Source organism: Homo sapiens, chromosome 21 (assembly GCF_000001405.40).
Source record: "Homo sapiens chromosome 21, GRCh38.p14 Primary Assembly".
Classification (NCBI taxonomy): domain Eukaryota; kingdom Metazoa; phylum Chordata; class Mammalia; order Primates; family Hominidae; genus Homo; species Homo sapiens.
Window position 1 is genome coordinate 45,342,552 of NC_000021.9, and position 18,677 is coordinate 45,361,228.

Here is an 18,677-nt window from a genome sequence, read left to right on the forward strand (position 1 = left end):
TAGCCAGATGTGGAGGTGTGCGCCTGTAATCCCAGGTACTTAGGTGGCTGAGGCAGGAGAATCGCCTGAACCTGGGAGGTGGAGGTTGCAGTGAGCGGAGATCTCACCACAGCACTCCAGCCTGAGTGACAGAAAAAAAAGAAAAAAAAAAAAGATTTAAATAAAGGAAGGGATATGATATATTTATGGATTAAAAGCAAGTTAAAAACAAGTTAACAAACACAACAATTGATCTATAAATTCCATGTAATCACCATTAAAATCCAGGCCAAAGTGTGTGAGTGTGTGTGTGTTGCGGGTAGGGGGTTGCCAAGCTAAAGTTTACGTGGGAATGGACGGGGCAAGAACAGCAAGACGACCTTGAGGACGACCAAAGCGAGGGACTCGGCCCCCAGGTGCCAGTGCCCACCACAAAGCTATAGGAGTCCAGACCAGGCCACACAGCGGTCAGTGAAGTGGGATGGAAGGTCCAGACCAGGCCACACAGTGGTCAGTGAAGTGGGATGGAAGGTCCAGACCAGGCCACACAGCGTCAGTGAAGTGGGATGGAAGGTCCAGACCAGGCCACACAGCGGTCAGTGAAGTGGGATGGAAGGTCCAGACCAGGCCACACAGTGGTCAGTGAAGTGGGATGGAAGGTCCAGAAACACGCACACGGGACACTTGATCCACAACAGATTCAGGATTGCAGACCAGGGGCACGGGGAACCTCTTTACTCGTGGTACCAGCTCAGTTGCAGATGCATACGGAACGCAGGAAGCCGGGGCCCCACGTTCCCCCATATGCAGTCTGCAAATGCAAACACGGAGGCTGAAACAAACACGTCTGGAAGAAATCACAGGGGAGCATCTCCCCTGCTGTGCCCAGGATCCACGGGTGAGCAAGACAGGGTCCCTGTCCGGATGGGGTTTCATTTGGGGGTGCGGAGGGGGTGCAGAACCAAAAAAAAACCAAGCAAGCGAGTGAAACAGGGAGCTCGGAAGTGGGCGCTCGCATAGGCCAAGGTGGGGAAGGCTGGCAGGCACGTGTGTGTGCAAGGACACCAAATGTTGATCTGCAGAGCAAAGCTGGGCAACAGCAACCACATTAACCAATAGACGTCGGCTTATCCAGGCCATGGGACGATGTGTAGCTGTTAACATAAAGGTCTATCTGGCTGGGTACGGTGCCTCACGCCTGTAATCCCAGCACTTTGGGAGGCTGAGGCGGGCAGATCATGATATCAGAAGTTGGAGACCAGCCTGACCTGGTTTAGTAGAAACCCTGTCTCTACTAAAAATACAAAAATTAGCTGGGCATGGTGGGACGCACCTTTAGTCACAGCTACTCGGGAGGCTGAGGCAGGAGAATCGCTTGAACCCGGGAGGTGGAGGTTGCGGTGAGCCGAGATCATGCCACTGCACACCAGCCTGGGTGACAGCGTGAGACTCACTCTCAAAAATAAATAAATAAATAAATAAATAATGAATAAAATAAAGGTCCGGATGAGTTTGGAATGTGGAAGGAACCACACCGGGAGTGGCGCTGGGTGTGTCCGTGTGAATGTGAGAGGATGTGTGCGTTCCATGCGGTGCTGCAGAGGGTGGAAAGGCAGCATGGTATAGCAGCCAGTGGCCGGGACCCATCCGTGAACCCAGTCTTGGCTCAGCACTCCACGGTGGGGTTTTCTGCCCCTGCCACAACTCGGAGGACAGAGGGAGTTGGATGAAGTGCCAGGACTGTGATGAGGAGGGCTGGCTGGGAGGCAGGACTCTGACCTGTGTTCGCGGAAACATCCATCTGCTCCACAGTCAGACAGAGCCTGTGGCAGAGGCCATGGAGGATTTTCTGGTGGCCACAGACTGTCCTGTGGAATTCCAGCTCGTCGTTGGTCAATGGGATGAAGTTTGGCTTTAGAGGTGGATGAGACAAGTTGGGCTCTACCCAGAGCAAACTAAAGCTGCTCCTGGTCAACAAACACCAGCTCAGCTGGCCCAACCGATGCCTCGGCCCTGGACACACAGCTGGGGGGAGGCCGGGTGAGGAGACTCTGTCCGTGGGATTCCACCTGCCCCGTGGGAGTGAGAGCACAGGCATCGCTCACGGCGCTGCAGGCCATGTCCACCACAGTGCAGCGCAGCCCTCTAGGCCGCGCCCACATTGCCCAGGCTCCGCTCGGCCTCATCCTCGATTTCAGGCCTCTGTGACTTACCCTTGGGGCCCAGCATAGCACAGACACTATGTCTGTTTAAATAGGAGAGCATAGAAAAGCCGAGTCCCTGCAAGGGACAACCGGCTTGAGATGACAGTCAGGGTCTCAGGCGAGACGGCCTCCAGCCGCCTTCAGAGCAGGTGCCTATCAGCGGGGCCACGTGGTGGTTTCACAGTGCCTTGGTCCCCAGTGCCGAACCTGCCCCCTTGCCCGAAAGCCGGGCTAAGCCAAGCAGCTGTGGTTGACGGTTTTGCCTCAGGAATTGTGTGTGTAATTTAGCGACAAAACAAAGCAGGCACAAGGAAGACTCAAACAGGGAGGTCCCTGAAGATGGGAGACAAATGACCAATGGACAGAATTTCATGTCCTATTGGTGGCCTAACAGCTTGGAGAAGCATTCCAACTGGATTTTCAACACAAGGAATTGGTTAGACGTCCCTGGCGGGGTGTGTCTCTTCCAGCTGGATTTTCAACACAGGGAATTGGTAACACGTCCCTGGCGGGGTGTGTCGCTTCCAGCTGGATTTTCAACACAGGGAATTGGTTAGACGTCCCTGGCGGGGTGTGTCGCTTCCAGCTGGATTTTCAACACAGGGAATTGGTAACACGTCCCTGGCGGGGTGTGTCGCTTCCAGCTGGATTTTCAACACAAGGAATTGGTTAGACGTCCCTGGCGGGGTGTGTCGCTTCCCACTGGATTTTCAACGCAGGGAATTGGTAACACGTCCCTGGCGGGGTGTGTCGCTTCCAGCTGGATTTTCAACACAGGGAATTGGTTAGACGTCCCTGGCGGGGTGTGTCGCTTCCAGCTGGATTTTCAACACAGGGAATTGGTAACACGTCCCTGGCGGGGTGTGTCGCTTCCAGCTGGATTTTCAACACAAGGAATTGGTTAGACGTCCCTGGCGGGGTGTGTCACTTCCCACTGGATTTTCAACGCAGGGAATTGGTTACACGTCCCTGGCGGGGTGTGTCGCTTCCAGCTGGATTTTCAACACAGGGAATTGGTTAGACGTCCCTGGCGGGGTGTGTCGCTTCCCACTGGATTTTCAACACAGGGAATTGGTTAGACGTCCCTGGCGGGGTGTGTCGCTTCCCACTGGATTTTCAACGCAGGGAATTGGTTACACGTCCCTGGCGGGGTGTGTCGCTTCCAGCTGGATTTTCAACGCAGGGAATTGGTTACACGTCCCTGGCGGGGTGTGTCGCTTCCAGCTGGATTTTCAACACAGGGAATTGGTTAGACGTCCCTGGCGGGGTGTGTCGCTTCCAGCTGGATTTTCAACGCAGGGAATTGGTTAGACGTCCCTGGCGGGGTGTGTCGCTTCCAGCTGGATTTTCAACACAGGGAATTGGTTAGACGTCCCTGGCGGGGTGTGTCGCTTCCCACTGGATTTTCAACGCAGGGAATTGGTTAGACGTCCCTGGCGGGGTGTGTAGCAGGATAAGAGGAGCCACGCAGAAATATCGGGCTGCAGTCTCTAATTGGGTTGCTGATAATAATATTTGTATTCTTTTTTTTTTTTTTTTTGGCTGTTGTTGTTGTTTTTTGTTTTTGTTTTTGAGACAGAGCCTCGCTCTGTCGTCCAGGCTGGAGTGCAGCAGTGCAGTCTCAGCTCGCTGCCGTCTCCGCCTCCCAGGTTCAAGCCATTCTCGTGCCTCAGCCTCCCCAAAAGCTGGGATTACGGGCACCCGCCACCACGCCTGGCTAATTTGTGTATTTTTAGTGGAGACAGGGTTTCACCATGTTGGCCAGGCAAGTCTCAAACTCCTGACGTCATGTGATCCACCCGCCTCAGCCTCCCAAAGTGCTGGCATTACAGGCGTGAGCCACCGCGCCAGGTCTGTTGGCTTGTTTTTGAGACAGGGTCTCACTCTGTCGTCCAGACTGCAGTGCAGTGGTGTAATCACAGCTCACTGCAACCTGTAACTCCCGGGTTCAAGAGAGTCTCCTGCCTCAGTCTTCCAAATAACTGGAACTACAGGTGTGCACCACCATGCCCAGCTAATTTTTGATTTTTTGTAGAGATGGGGTCTCACTATGTTGCCCAGGCTGGTCTCCAACTCCTGGGCTCAAGTGATCCTCCTACCTCAGCCCCCTAAAGTGTTGAGGTTACAGGTGTGAGCCACTGCACTTGGCCATAATATTGGTATTCTTATTTTAAACTAGAATATATACAGTTTCAAATAAAGCAAATGAAGACAAAACATGTTAATACCATCAGGGGCCAAGATTTTCGGGGTTAGAGAAAAAAGCATACAAGTATAAAGTCAAAGAAGTTGAAGAAACTCTCCAGTTTGAATAGGAGGCACCTGTGTAAGCTCTTGAACTCATGCCATATGTTTGTTTCATAAAAATACATTTTTTCCGCTGTGTCATCTGGAATTGCCCAGAAGCAAAGACGACTCAGGAGCCACAGTCCCCGGCACCCAGGCTGGCTCTGAGCCCCTCTCCCCACTCACCTGAACCAGGACTCTGGGAAGTGACTGAGCGCGGGCTGGGCAGCGGCACAGGGAGCTGCTGGAAGCCCAGGAGGCATCAGCAAGTGCAGTGTCACCCGCCACGCCGGCGTCCCCCTGTCGAGAGGGCAGCCCCCAGCTTGAAGGGCTCCCAGCGCCAGCCGGGGCACGACAGGCATCGAACAGACTAATGGTATAGTGATGGTAGAAAACATCAAATGTTTGAAACTCTGTGAATTTATCAAACCGCTTTCAAAACCTCCTGTCCCTCTCGGATGCTGTTAGGGCGCCAAGCCGTGATGCTGCGAACTGGCAAATAGGGGGAGGTAGAAAGCACGTGTCCCGGCTTTCCTGCGGGAACTTTCTCACCCAGCCGAGCAGCTCACGGGAGAAAGCTCTTTCCAGAGGATCTCCAGCGAGTAAACGCAGAAGGAGTGATGGGATCCGAAGATCACCGTTTTGCAAACCTTCAGGAAACGCCAGAGGTGAGCCACTGCCACGAGAGGGTCTGAGCCGTCAGGGCGGGAGTAGGGTAACACAGGGAAACCGAGTCCCTACAAGGAGAGAGCCGGCTTGAGACCACAGTTAGGGCCTGAGCCGAGGCAGCCTCCTGCTGTATTGAGCTCTAAGGCGGTCCAAAAACTCCCTCTGCGGGGCCACCCTCTGCAGCAGCACAGGCTGGAGGGGGTGCCAGCATCCTGCCCTCCAGGGATCCCAGGACCAGGGGCAGGAGTACCCAGTCCTCCTCTGGGGACCTGTGTGACCAGGCTGACCATCCCCAGAAGAGAGGCACCAGGACGCCCTGTGCCCCCACAAGATGCCAAGGGCAGAGGCCAGCACTGCCTGGCAACCCCAAGGCTGGAGGAAATGCAGGGAGGAGCTCATCAAATCCGGCCAGGCAGCAGCAGCAGCAGCCCGAGAGTGGGCATCCCATGGGACGAACGGCCCGGGATCCACACGCAGATGCCCAGAAAGCGAGAGGACAGAGGGCGCGGGGCGGGAAGACGCGCCTCGGCCGGGGCAGCAAGGAAAAGACGTTACAACAGCCGTTTTCAGTCAGGGAAATGTGAACAGGCTGAATATTTAGGGATCCATTGTGATGATTATATTGTGACTGTGTTTTCTAAAAAGGAGAGATTTTATCTGCTGGGGGCACATACCACAGTATTTATGGACACAGTGATAGGACGTCTTCATTTCATTTCAAATACCCCATGGGAGGATTTATGAGGCTAGAGGGAGGCTGGCTATCACTGAAGCTTGGTGATGCATTAATGGATTCATCTTCCTAATAAAAAGTTATAAAATTATGTAAGAGTGGATAAAAGAAGGACATTAAACAAAGGAAGTAAAAGGAAATCTCCTTACTGGCGGAGTCCCTGGGTGGTCTGTCTGATTCCAGCTGATACATCATCGTTACTGAAGGTCATAGGTCAGGCTGCTGGGAGTCTCAGGCTCCAAGGGCTGAGGGCGGGGGCTCCAAGGCGGTCTGCAGACCCCCTCTGTGGGGTGACCCTCTGCAGCAGCACAGGCTAGAGGGGTCCTAGCATCCTGTCCGCCAGGATCCCAGTACCTGGAGTGGGAGGGCCCAGCCCTCCTCTGGGTTCTCCTGGGGGCCGAGGAGTTGGGCCCAGGGCATTGTCGGGACACCAGGCCCTCCCATCGTCGGCTTCCTATGAACGCTTAGGCCAGGCCAGGGCAGAACAGTGGGTGAGGGCCTGTGTCTGGGGCCTGTGTCTGGGGCCAGGCTGCCTGACTCCCAACCTCTTCTCTCCCCTTCCTGCTGTACAACCCTGGGCAAGTTAGTGACTTTGCTGGATCTCAAAGTCCTCATCTGTAAGACGAGCATCATGCTGTGGGTGTGAGGAACCAATGGGAGCACGGCCGGCTGGCGGCACCTGCCCGGTGCATGGATCCAGGGTGGCTGGAACCCAATTCCACATTAACCTGGGGTCTGGCAGCCAGAACCACCAGTCTCTGGGAGACGACTGCCCGGGTCCCCAGCAGGCCAGAGTCAGGCCCTGTCTGGGTCCCCACAGCCCCCATGCCCGCGCTGTAAACCAGCCTCAGGGGCTGGGGAGGAGGAGTATTCCCAGCCATTTCCCAGGCAGAAGCCTTGGTGCTTCTGCTCTAATTAGGGCTGGGGGAGGGGACCTGGGGTCATCATCTCCAAGGTCAGTGGTCACCACATTCCAGGAATCACCACCAGCATTGGCCTCAAACTCCTCAGCACCAATTGACATAAAATCCATGGGAATTCAGCTGAAGCTTCACGCCTACAATCCCAGCACTGTGGGAGGCCAAGGTGGGAGGATCGCTTGAGCCCCTGAGTTTGAGACCAGCCCAAGCAACACAGTGATACCCCATCTCTACAAAAAGTACAAAAAACAATTAGCTGAGGGTGGTGGCACGTGCCTGTAGTCCCAGCTACTCAGGAGGCTGAGGCAAGAGGATTGTTTAAGGCCAGGAGTTCAAGGCTGCAGTGAGATATGATCGTGCCACCACACTGCAGCCTGGATGACAGAGCAAGACTCTGTCTCTAAAAACAAAACAAATGAACAAAAAATCCATGGAAATTCCCTCAGAGCCAGAAAATTGCTTCCAGCCTTTGGGAACGGAGTGTGGTTTGAGCTGCACCGACTGGGCACGGTGGGCCCCACTCTGGGAAGAGAGGTTTCTTTCTGCAGCTTGATCACCCCAGTGGACTAATGAGGCGAGCTGTTCCCAGGAAGTGTGCTTTACGTAACTGCTGGTAATGAGACTGGTGGGGCCGTGCGTGTGTGTGCGTGTGCGTGCTCGTGACTCTGGAAGCCTTCAAGCTGCCAGCATTCATCCGTCTTCTCTAATGAGCCTCATGGGAACATTATCGCCCTGGAGGAAGGAGAAAGCGGGGCTGGGCTCTCTCGCCGGCAGCTCTGCTCCAGAACTGGAAGAACTTACTGCTGTCAGGGACACTCCAGAGCTCCTGCCTCTGCTCATTCCTACATCACTCAAGTGAACAGCTCCTGAATTTAAAGAGGCACATGTACACATGCACAAGCATTCACACATGCACAAGCATTCACACATGCACATGGGCCACACACATATATGCGCACATGCATTCACGTGTGTACACACCACATGCATGTCCATAGGCACACATCCTCACATGCTATATATTGCACATGTACATGCATTCACACAGGCACACACCACATGTATGTGCACAGAGAGCTGCATCACACAGCACATGTGTATATAGACTCATGTACCACACACATTACATGCATGTGCACACAAACGTATCACACAACACACATGCATATAAATTTGCACCACACACCACACCACACATATGCATACAGACATGCGCCCCATGCCACACATGTACGTGCACACAAACATGTATCACACAGCACATGTGCATATAGTCAGCACCACACACATCACACACATGTGTATACATATCACACATAGACTTACACATGTGCAATGCATTCCCACACACACCATGTACATTCATATACCCACATGCATCACACACACTGCCACATATACACGTGTGTTGCATATGTGTGCACATGTACCACATATACCGCATACGTGTGCATGGGTGCATGCCACACACACACACACACACACCATGTACCTGTGTGTAGGTGCATGCACTCACATATACCATAGCTATGTACACACACAATTCGTATGTACACATATCTGCACATAGACCTGCATTTACATATATACCTGCCATAGAAGCCAGATGTGAGAATGAAAACCTCAGAACCCAGAAGCCGTTGTGAGAGGAGTGTGGTGATCAGGAGATGGACTGGGGCTGGGAGAAAGCCCCTCCCACGGGCTGCAGTGCTCGGGACTTACAGAAGACCCCAGGGTAAGGGACAAGCTGAGCAGCTGATGCTGGAGGCAAAGCTGAGGTGGGCAGCACGGCCCCCCAGGGCCGCCTCGGTCCCAGCGCCGACCGCGAGTCTGTCCTCCAGCTGCCTCGTTCACTGGGCTTGAGTCGACAAGAACCTGCCAGGGAGGGTGGCAGGACCACGAGGCTGGGGGGCCTCAGAGTTTGCCCTGCAATGACAAGACCCAGAATGGGGGAAGGGCCTCCGCACACCTGGGGCTCCGCGGGGACCAGGACGTGGTGGCGGCCGGATCCCAGGATGGGGGGGAAGGGCCTCCGCCTACCTGGGGCTCAGCGGGGACCAGGACATGGTGGCGGCCGGATGGACCCCAAAAACAGAGCAAGACTGACGGAGAGCGTGGATCAGGGAGGTTCTGCACCAGCTCTTCGCACAATGAGGAAAGATCTTGCTGCTACAAAATAGAAGGAACTCAGCAAACAACCTCTCTGAGTGGTGGGTAAAGATGCCCGCGCCCTGGCACATGTGGTACTAGAACCTCATGCTGTACAGGCGTTCCGCTCCGCTGAGGGCCTCCTGGACACCTTGAGTTTGAGGCCAGCAGAGGCCTGGCCTTGCTGCCTACCCACCTGCCTGGCCACTTGTCCACCGACAGCGTGGCCTGGGCCCTGGCAGTGGAACAGGGAGGCATCCCTAGTTTCCCCTCTGGCTCCGGGGTCTGAGTGGGGAGCCCCTGGTGTGGGGATGTGTTCATCCTCAGCTCTGCACCAGCCCCCACAGGCCCCAGGGTTAACCTGGGCCCACAGTTTCTAGGAAAGAGGGGCACGGGCTGAGGATGCAGGGCCCACCCTTCCTGTGGGGGCCAGAGGGCTCCTCTGCCTCTCCCAGGACCACTTCCTTCCTCCCACATGGATGACCCGGGGGTCCAACCCTGGAAAATCTGAGCAGCTTGGCTGTGGTTCAACCTCCTCTTTCCACTAGCCTGCACCTGGGACCCACTTCCTGCCGGCTGCCACTGCTGGCAGGTCCAGGGCAGCCCTGGCCATTGGTCAGCCCTGCAGCCAGCAGCCCACACAGAAACCACGCTGCCTCCAGCTTGGACCTCAGCATGCAGGGAGCTGTGGGGGCCTAGGCATCTGGGGAGGATCTGCCAGACTTGAGAAGCCATGAGGGCCAGGCACAGTGGCTCAAGCCTGTAATCCCAGCACTTTGGGAGGCCAAGGCAAGTGGATCACCTGAGGTCAGGAGTTCAAGACCAGCCTGGCCAACATGGTGAAACCCCATCTCTATTAAAAATACAAAAATCAGCCGGGCATGGTGGCAGGTGCCTGGAATCCCAGCTACTCGGGAGGTTGAGGAAGGAGAATCACTTGAACCTGGGAGGCGGAGGTTGCGGTGAGCCAAGATCGTGCCATTGCACTCCAGCCTGGGCAAAAAGAGCAAAACTCCATCTCAAAAAAAAAGAAAGAAAAGAAAAAAGAAAAAGAAAGAGAAGCCAGAAATCCACACCATACAAGGGATCTCAAGGGAACAGAAGTCCAGCTCCTCGGCCTGGCCCCCAGAGACTGGACAGTTGCCTGGACCCGGTGCCCAGGCCACGCTGTCCTGCTCCCTGTCCCTCCCAAAGACCCAGGCACCGAGTCCCGAGGGCTCCTGCGGCGGCTCTGTGCTCACCCCGCCAGCCCCTCCTCGGCCTCCTCCGGCTCTGGCTTCAAGGCTTTATCCCTGGTGCTCACAATCAGCCCCCCGCCCAGCAGTTACCTCCATCCAGGCACACACGGCCCTCGTTCCCCTCTCTGCCCGTGGGGCGCCTCCACAGATGGCTGGAGGACCCATGCAGACCCTCGGCTTGGTAGCCTGCTGCCCATTCCTGTGCCCACAGCCGGGGCTCCTGTGCCCACAGCCGGGGCTCCTGTGCCCACAGCCGGGGCGGCCTGACCTCGCAGCACAGGGTGTCAGCCGGGAGGATGCGGGGGAGGCGGCTGCCCAGCCTCCTGTGATCCCGGCAGGTCCTGGCCCTGCACTGGGCCCGGTTTCACCACCTGTCAGCCTCAGGGTAGGATTTTATGCAGAGTCACGCAGTTTACACACAAACACACACACGCTGGTATACACACGTATGTGCACACACATGCACAGGCAAGCATATACATATACATGCCGTTATAGATTGAACTGTGTCTCTCCCAAATTCACATGTTGGAGTCCTAACCCCCAGGATCTGTGAATAAACTTATCTGGAGATAGCATCTGCAGTTAATCAAGTACAAATGAGGTAATTAGGGTGTGTTTGTGTGTCTTTTAAAGGGGGAGGTCTGGACACCGTGTGGAGACAGCTGTGGGATGCATCTGCACACTGAGGAGCCATGATGGCTGTGGGACGCCCAGAAGCTGGGGGAGGCCTGGAGCAGCCTCTCCCTTACAGCCTCAGGGGGAATCAGCCTGCTGTGAGATAATAAATGTCTGTTGTTTAAGCCCCCAGTGTGTGGTGGCTTATTGTGACAGACCTAGCAAACTGTGCACACAGACACAGGCACACAGGCAAAGGCACAGGCACACAGACACATACACACAGACACAGGCACACAGACACAGGTACACAGGCACAGGCACATAGGCACATACACAGAGGCCCAGACACACAGACACAGGCACACAGACACACAGGCACACAGGCATAGGCACACAGGCACACAGGCACATACACAGAGGCCCAGACACACAGACACAGGCACACAGACACACAGGCACACAGGCATAGGCACACAGGCACACAGGCACATACACACAGGTACATATACACAGGCACAGGCACACAGGCCCAAACACACAGACACAGGCACACAGGCACATACACACAGACACAGGCACACAGACACACAGGCACACAGACATAGGCACACAGGCACACAGACATAGGCACACAGACACAGGCACACAGGCAAAGGCACAGGCACATAGGCACCTACACAGAGGTACAGGCGCACAGACACAGGCACACAGGCACGTACACAGGTACAGGCACACAGGTGCACACAACTCACCCGTAGTCAGTAGCATCAACTTTAAAGTCCAGCATAGCAGGGCTCAGGACCTGGCTGGACCATATTCCATCTGTTCGACCTTGAAAAGGTAATTTAATGATTCTGAGCTTCAGTTTTCTCACCTGAAAACTAGGAATCATAATAGTCTCTTCTTCATAGGGTTGTTGCAAGAAGCCGGGACATTTTGCCCTGGGTTTGGCATGAGGGGCTGCAGTGTCTCCTGTACATGCTTTAAATATTTTTTAAAGTCTCAACTATTTGTACACTAAACAACACACGTCTAAATAATGTGTGGGTCAAGAAGAAATCGCATGCCAGGCAAGGTGGCTCTCGCCCATCGCCCCAGCTACTCGGGAGGCTGAGGTGGGAGGATTGCTTAAACCCAGGAGTCCATCAGCCTGGGCAATGTAGCAAGACTTAGCCACAAAAAAAAACTTTTAAAGAAGAAATCTTGAAGAAAATATTTTGAATTGAATCATCATGAAAATGCAGAATGTAAGAATTTGTGGAAATGCAGGCAAAGGGTGCTTAGAGGGAAATTTATAGCTTTAAATACTTAAGATTAGAAACAAAGAAAGGCTTAACATCAATAATATAAGTTTCCAATATAAGTAGCATAAAAGAGATAAGCAAATTAAACCCAAAAAGTAGAAAATAAATAATGAAAGTAGTAGCAGAAATTATTGAAATACAAAACAGATAAAAAGATCAACAAACCCAAAATTGATTTTTTTAGTTGTTAAAATTGTTATCTGTCAAGCAAGATCGATTTAAAAAAGAGAGAGAAGACACAAATTGCCAATATGTAGACTGAAAGAAAGAATATCAATGTGGATCCTTGAGACAGCACAGGATAATAATAAAACTTTATGAGCAACTTTGTCAGTAAATTTAACAACGTTGGGTGACACAAATTTCTGAAAAACACAACTTACCAAAATCAGCATGAAATGAAATAGAAAATCTGGATAGCCTTATGTCTACTTTTAATAACTGAATTCGTTATCAAACTCCTTCCACAAAGAAAACTGCACGCCCTGGTGGTTTTATGGTGAGTTGTATCAAATACGTAGGGAAGAAATAATGCTGATCTTTCACAAACTCATTCAGAAAACAGAAGAAGGGAGAACGTCTGCCATGGCCTGAATTTGCCCCCTCCCTGCTGCCAAAATTCATACCCTAACCCCAGCATCTCAGAAGGTGACTGTATTTGGAGAGGGGATCTTTACAGAAGTCATTAAGTTAAAATGTGGTCATTAGGGTTGCCCTGGCCCAGTCTGCTGGCGTCCTCGTAAGAAGAGCAGATGAGGGCACGGACACACACAGAGGGACGGCCCTGTGAGGACACAGGGAGAAGATGGTGTCTGCAAGCCAAGGAGAGACCCCAGGCACCAGCCCTGCCCCTCCTTGATCTCAGACCCCAGGCTCCGGGACTGTGAGAAGGAAGTGCCTGTTCGAGCCACCAGTTCTGCGCATTCTTAAGGTAGCCCAAACAAACTAATAAAATCCCTAGTGCGTTGTACCAGGCGGATGTAAGCCTGAGACGACACCTGACAAAGACATTATGATAAAACACAATTGGGGAACGTCCCGCACATCAACACAGACACAAAACACTCAACCAGATGTTAGCAATCACGGCCAGCAAGGGAAGTAAATGGTACACCACGACCAAACGTGCTTCCGCCGGGAATGCAAGAGCCGTTTACTGTTTGAGCATCAATCAGTGTCATTCACAGAAGCAGAAAACATGATCATTCAATAAATGCAGAGAAATCATTCAACAAAAAAGCAACACCCATTATCACAGATAAGAACTCGAGACAGGCTAAGAACAAAGTGAAACTTTCTCCATATGATATGGCCACGTATGAGGAGCCTACAGCTAAAATCAGATGTGATGGTGGAATGCCGACCTTACACAAACTCATTCAGAAGACAGAGGAAGAGGGGAGAATTCCTGCTCTGTCCTGAATTTGCCCCACTCCCTACTGCCAAAATTCACATCCTAACCCCAGCATCTTGGAAGGTGACTGTATCTGGAGAATGGGATCTTTACAGAGGTAATCAAGTGAAAATGTGGCCATTGGGCTGGGCCTCCCTAACAGTGTCCCTCTCACTCTGTGAACGGGGTGAGGCTGTCTGCCTGGCCACTTCTGTTCAATGCCGTACTGGAAATTATAGCCAATGCCACAAGGTGAGACAAATGAGAGTCGTGCAGTTTGGAGAGGGTGCCTGTTATGAAGGTGTGGTCTTCCACCCAAACCCACCCTCCGGACCCCATCCTGAGCTGCCGGGGCTGGGACCCCACAAACCACATCTCTGCTCAGCCTGCCAGCATCCCCTTAGACTGCCAATAAGGGGCGCTGGAGAGACCACCAAGGTCCAAAAGGACAGGAGAGTTCAGGCGAGTGTTCTGGGTTCAGGGAGATTGGAGACATGACGGTTAAATTCCACGCGTGCTCCTGCACTGCACCCTTGGGTGGGAAGGAACATTACTGGGACAGTGGACAAGAATGGGAAATGGACTGCCCGCTAGATGGTTGTATCACATCATTAGGTGATTACACCAAGGGGCGTTCCCTGCAGGCACACGCTGAGGTCCACAGTGGGGAGTGGACATGGTGACCCCGCCTTGCTGGGGCTCAGAAGCTGGTACCTGAGATACAGCTTTGATGTGAACCGAGGCAGCCTCAAGGTCTCTCTGACCTCCCTGCTCCTGTCTCTCCCAAAGCACGAAGTTGTTCCCTGAATCTCCCTTATCTGCCTGAAGTCCCTACCGGCCAAAGAAGAAAACAATGACCCGGAATCCCCTCCCTGCGTTTCCATTAACTGAGCTTCTATCGCAAGAAGAAAGGCCGAGGTTTGTCAACACACCTGGCAAATGTCACAACCATTGTCTGCTCCAGCGGACTTTGTTCCAGGCCATTGTCCGTGCTTCAAGCCCATTGAATTCCCTAAAAATCATTTACTACCACCCTAAAGTCACCCACACTGCCCCATCTCCTTTCCCCCAAGAAGAAGGGTGCATGGCCGTCTGTGGCCCCCCGGGGTTTGGGGTAATCGTCCTCCTAAGATCCTCCATGCTATGCACATTAGAACACATGTCAGCCTTTCCTCCAGTTAATCTGCCTTCTGTGAGTTGATTTTCCAGTGAAACTTCCGAGGGCAAAGGGGAAGTTTTTCCCTTGGCCTCTGCGCGCCTACTTGTTTTTTTTTTTTTGGTTCTAAAAACACTTTTGAGTGAGGGAGAGGAAGTGTGATAAAGAAAATGGGGCAAAATGCACAAAGTTAGTGAGTCCGAGTGAGGTGCTCCCTCTCTATCCTCGCAACTTTGTCTTCTAAGTTTTAAATTTCAAAATATAGCAGTGAAAAGAATGAGAACGTTAAGTCCCGGAAAAGCCATGATTTCTCGCTCAGGGAAGTGGCCACGTGTCCGCGATCGCAATCAGCGAGGCTCCGACTCCAGGACTGCGAAGCGGTTCCACTGTCAAACACGCCGAGCCGGCGCGTTTCACAGCTGCCCTCAGCTCCTGCAGCTGGGAGCATGTTTTTCCAATCAGACGTTCTTTCGCAGAACAAGAATGTTCAGTTTTTTGCTTTCGGTCTCACTGTTGGTGACGCTTTCCGGCTGCGTGGGGCCGGACACACACAGGCCCACACCACTCATTTCTCTCTTCACCAGCCAGCTTAGGATTGCTTGACCACTGAATGCATATTCCCACACGCCGGGCACTCTCAGGGCACGGGGGGTGTCAGGAGCAAGACAGCGAGCTGGCCCCTGCCGCACCTGTGGGCTGCTGGGTGGAGAGTCCTGGTTTCACAGCATGTCCAACGTGGAAGGAATAGACAGGCCCCCGGGGTCCTGTGGTTTTCAAAGTCTTCAATCCGTTTCGTACACGGCAGCACTGGGATAAACGAGGCCCAATATGTGAAGCGAAAAGCAGCCCTGATCTGCCTGAAGGGGGAGCTGCCCCGGGACCTCCTGAGTCCCATGCCCTCTCCTGAGCCCCTTGATCTCCCATGGGGGCCCCAGGGACCAGGGCACTCAGGGCAGCCAGCAACTCGGGCCCCACACTCGGGCCTGGTGGTTGATGCCGGGAAGGGCCCAGCTGCACAAATGCTGCCCGATGGGTGAGGCTCGAAGCACAAGGGGCAGCCTCTCCCGGAGCAGCCGCGGCCCCCATCAGGCCACCTTCTCCAAGCCCCTTCTCTCCATGCTTTGTTTTGCTTTTTGTGTGTGGTGGACACATGAGTGACCTCCCGCCAACAAATCTGACCAGTGATGACTAGCGACCATTCCTGGCTGCTCTGTGAACCGGGGCCCCGTCCACACAGAGAACCTGGATTCACAGCCAATTCCAGGACTGAGAGCTTCGCTCAGGTCAGAGCCAAGATCCGGGGATCCAGCCGTTCCACCACTGGCCACATGTTCCTTGGTACCCGAGCCTCTGCTGCCCGGGGGGACCATCGAGCCAGAGCCCCCAGGTAGGCGAGGGGCCTGGGTGGAATATGACGGAACAAAAGATGATGGAACAAAATAGCCTCATTATTTCACACCAAGTATGGAAGAGCAGTTCCCCCAACTAGCATGTTCTGTGTCATGTTCCACGGCTGTTGGCTGTGAGCACAGCCTGGCCACACAACTCCATGAATAGGTGCCACCACTATCCCTACTTGACAGAGCAGGAAACTGAGGCACAGGGAGGCTGCACAGCTGAGCAGCACAGAGCTTGGATTTGCAGCCGGGGAATCAGACGGCAAAGCTGTAGTCCACCAGCTGCCCAGAGGGCCACAGAGAGGTGTGGGGCCTAGGACAGTGCGCCTGAGGGTCCCAGCCTTTGGGAACCCGGGGCATAGCCCAGGAATGAGAAGCCGAGCAGATGGACAGGGAGGGGAGCATCCTGGCAGCAGAGGTGGCTTAGGGCATCTGAGGGGGTGGGGGCCAGCCCTGCAGGCCCTGGGAAGGCGGGCTAGTCTGGGCGCAGAGCAGGAGAGCGGCATGGAGCGGGGTCTGTGCGTGGGTTGCCCCTGCACTGGAAGCAGCTAGGGGCAGGGCCAACCCCACTGAACCTTCCCAGGGTTCGCAGCCCCAGGGAGATGCCTTCCTCAGCTCAGCTTTTAATGCCTCCTCCGGCACTCCCCATTGCAGCCCCAGGAGTCCCTCAAGGGGCTATACCTCCCACTCCCTCATGCTCACCAGCCAGAAAATGCAATGGAAAAAAGGACCTCATATTCACAGTTGCAGGCACACGCAAACGTTAACACAGGCAATCTGCACTGTGTATGGCCAAACACGAGTGAACTTTTAAACTGCAGTGTGAGCTTTAGGCACTTGGAGGGCGGGAAGCCCCACATCCCCTGACCCCTCACGCGTCCATCCCTCTGTCCTCATGGGCACCGGGTGAGGCCTCGGGGACAGGGAAACTGGACGGGCCCCACTGCTGTCCTGGGCCTTCCTCCCGTGCAGGTGATAAGGAGGTGAGAGCATCGTGACGGCTGGCACAGGCCTGAGAGGGAGGGGATGGGGGCTGCTCTAGGTGGGGTCGGGAGGCCCCACTGGGGAGATTCCTCCAGGAGACCCAGAAAGCTGGAAGCCGCCAGCCTATGCAGAGGGCGCTCCCTCCTCATGGATACAGTCCCCAGAGAACCCCCCCGCAAGGGCCTTAAAGCGAAGGCTTGTTCTGAGGTTCACCAGGACAAGCAAGTGTGGCTTTGCCCTCTTGCCATCCACACCCCTGGGACATCCAATCAGGACCAGCGATCGTCCACTGCCTAGACCAGACCCAGTCATCCCCGAATTCATTATGTGGGAACTGAGGAGGGGGCTCCAGGCAGGGGGATCGTGCAGGTGGTCTTGGTGTCCAGGAGGCCTCACAGTATCCACTCACCGCCGTCTCCACCCCCTCAGGCACAGGTCCCTGTCCTCATCCTCATCAGTGCGGTCCCACAACTCAGGTGCGGCCCCCACTCCCCTTCCCGCCAACCCCCTTCCCCGGCCCTGCCGCCCTTCCCCGCCCAGAGGGAAACATGAGCATCTCAGAACAAGAGACAAAGCCCAGGCATTCAGGGAGGATAAAGGGGGAACGCAGCCCCCACCAAAATCTTCCCCAGACACAATGAGGTTTTATCAGCCCATTGTATTAAGCGGAATACGAGTCCCATAAAGCCCCCACACCCTGCTCCCTCCCAGGAATGTGTGGCTCTGTGCAGAGGGGACTGGTCACTGTGATGAAGGCCAGGCACTCTGACACGGGAGGTCTGGTTATCTGCTGGTAATCCTTAGGGGCCCTTATCCAGGGAGGCAGGAGGGCCCGGGGGAGGCACAGGACTGCAGCAGGGACTGTGGGCGGGGAAAGTGGGAGAGCGATTCTCCTGGGGGGCCAGGAGGAGCGGGCCCTGCCCACCCCAAGTGACTCCTTAGGAGCCATGAGATAATGAATCTTTTTTTTTTTTTTTTTGAGATGGAGTCTTGCTCTGTCGCTCAGGCTGGAGTGCAGTGGTGCGATCTCATCTCACCGCAACCTCTACCTCCCGGGCAGTTCTCCTGCCTCAGCCTCCCAGTAGCTGGGACCACACATGCCCGCCACCACGCCTGGCTAATTTTTGTATTTTTAGTAGAGATGGAGTTTCAACATGTTGGCCTGGCTGGTCTCGAACTCCTGACCTCAGGTGATCCGCCCGCCTCGGCCTCCCAAAGTGCTGGGATTACAGGCATGAGCCACCGCGCCCGGCCGGATCTGTGTTGTTTTAAGCCACTGAGTTTGTGGTCATTTCTCACAGCAGCCACAGGGAACTCATACAAACGTGGAAGCAGATCATTTCAGGGGAATTGAAAATATGCCACAAATGGAGAAATGCCACAAAAAATTTTAAGTTAATAAAAATCGCACAGATAGGAAGAGAAAGTATTATCATCTATGAAGGGAAGAGCTTCGGGGGCTGTGGCTCTGAGAGCCTGAGCAGAGGGCAGAGCTGGGTGGCTGGTGAGGACGCTGGGCCAGCTTGGGGGCTTCCATTAGGAGCCAAGACCAGGTCCTTGTGTGTCCCTGGGGCAGGGTGAGGGGTCTGGGGTGCTGTGGCCTCGCAGGTGGCGGGGGCGGCCAGAGACCACTGCTAAGATCAGC

At 54.2% G+C, this 18,677-nt stretch overlaps 1 long non-coding RNA gene across 1 annotated transcript, besides 4 other annotated features; it reads left to right on the forward strand.

The window, feature by feature from the left end:
- Window positions 4,388-5,304: an enhancer, noted in NCBI's record as "H3K27ac-H3K4me1 hESC enhancer chr21:46766854-46767770 (GRCh37/hg19 assembly coordinates)". NCBI's record gives its function as "activates a minimal SCP1, AML or CMV promoter by ChIP-STARR-seq in naive H9 embryonic stem cells {active_cell/tissue: H9 hESC(naive)}" and the evidence as "EXISTENCE:reporter gene assay evidence [ECO:0000049][PMID:30033119]".
- Window positions 5,017-10,987, forward strand: LOC105372839 (uncharacterized). Its single transcript, XR_937800.3, has 2 exons — window positions 5,017-5,137; window positions 10,814-10,987. It is a non-coding gene; the product is annotated as an uncharacterized LOC105372839 (long non-coding RNA).
- Window positions 10,783-11,657: an enhancer, noted in NCBI's record as "H3K27ac-H3K4me1 hESC enhancer chr21:46773249-46774123 (GRCh37/hg19 assembly coordinates)". NCBI's record gives its function as "activates a minimal SCP1, AML or CMV promoter by ChIP-STARR-seq in primed H9 embryonic stem cells {active_cell/tissue: H9 hESC(primed)}" and the evidence as "EXISTENCE:reporter gene assay evidence [ECO:0000049][PMID:30033119]".
- Window positions 15,509-16,162: an enhancer, noted in NCBI's record as "H3K4me1 hESC enhancer chr21:46777975-46778628 (GRCh37/hg19 assembly coordinates)". NCBI's record gives its function as "activates a minimal SCP1, AML or CMV promoter by ChIP-STARR-seq in naive H9 embryonic stem cells {active_cell/tissue: H9 hESC(naive)}" and the evidence as "EXISTENCE:reporter gene assay evidence [ECO:0000049][PMID:30033119]".
- Window positions 17,446-18,158: a transcriptional cis regulatory region, noted in NCBI's record as "candidate enhancer chr21.1536 targeted for multiplex CRISPR interference". NCBI's record gives its function as "positively regulates COL18A1 gene expression with high confidence in K562 cells {active_cell/tissue: K562}" and the evidence as "EXISTENCE:mutant phenotype evidence [ECO:0000015][PMID:30612741]".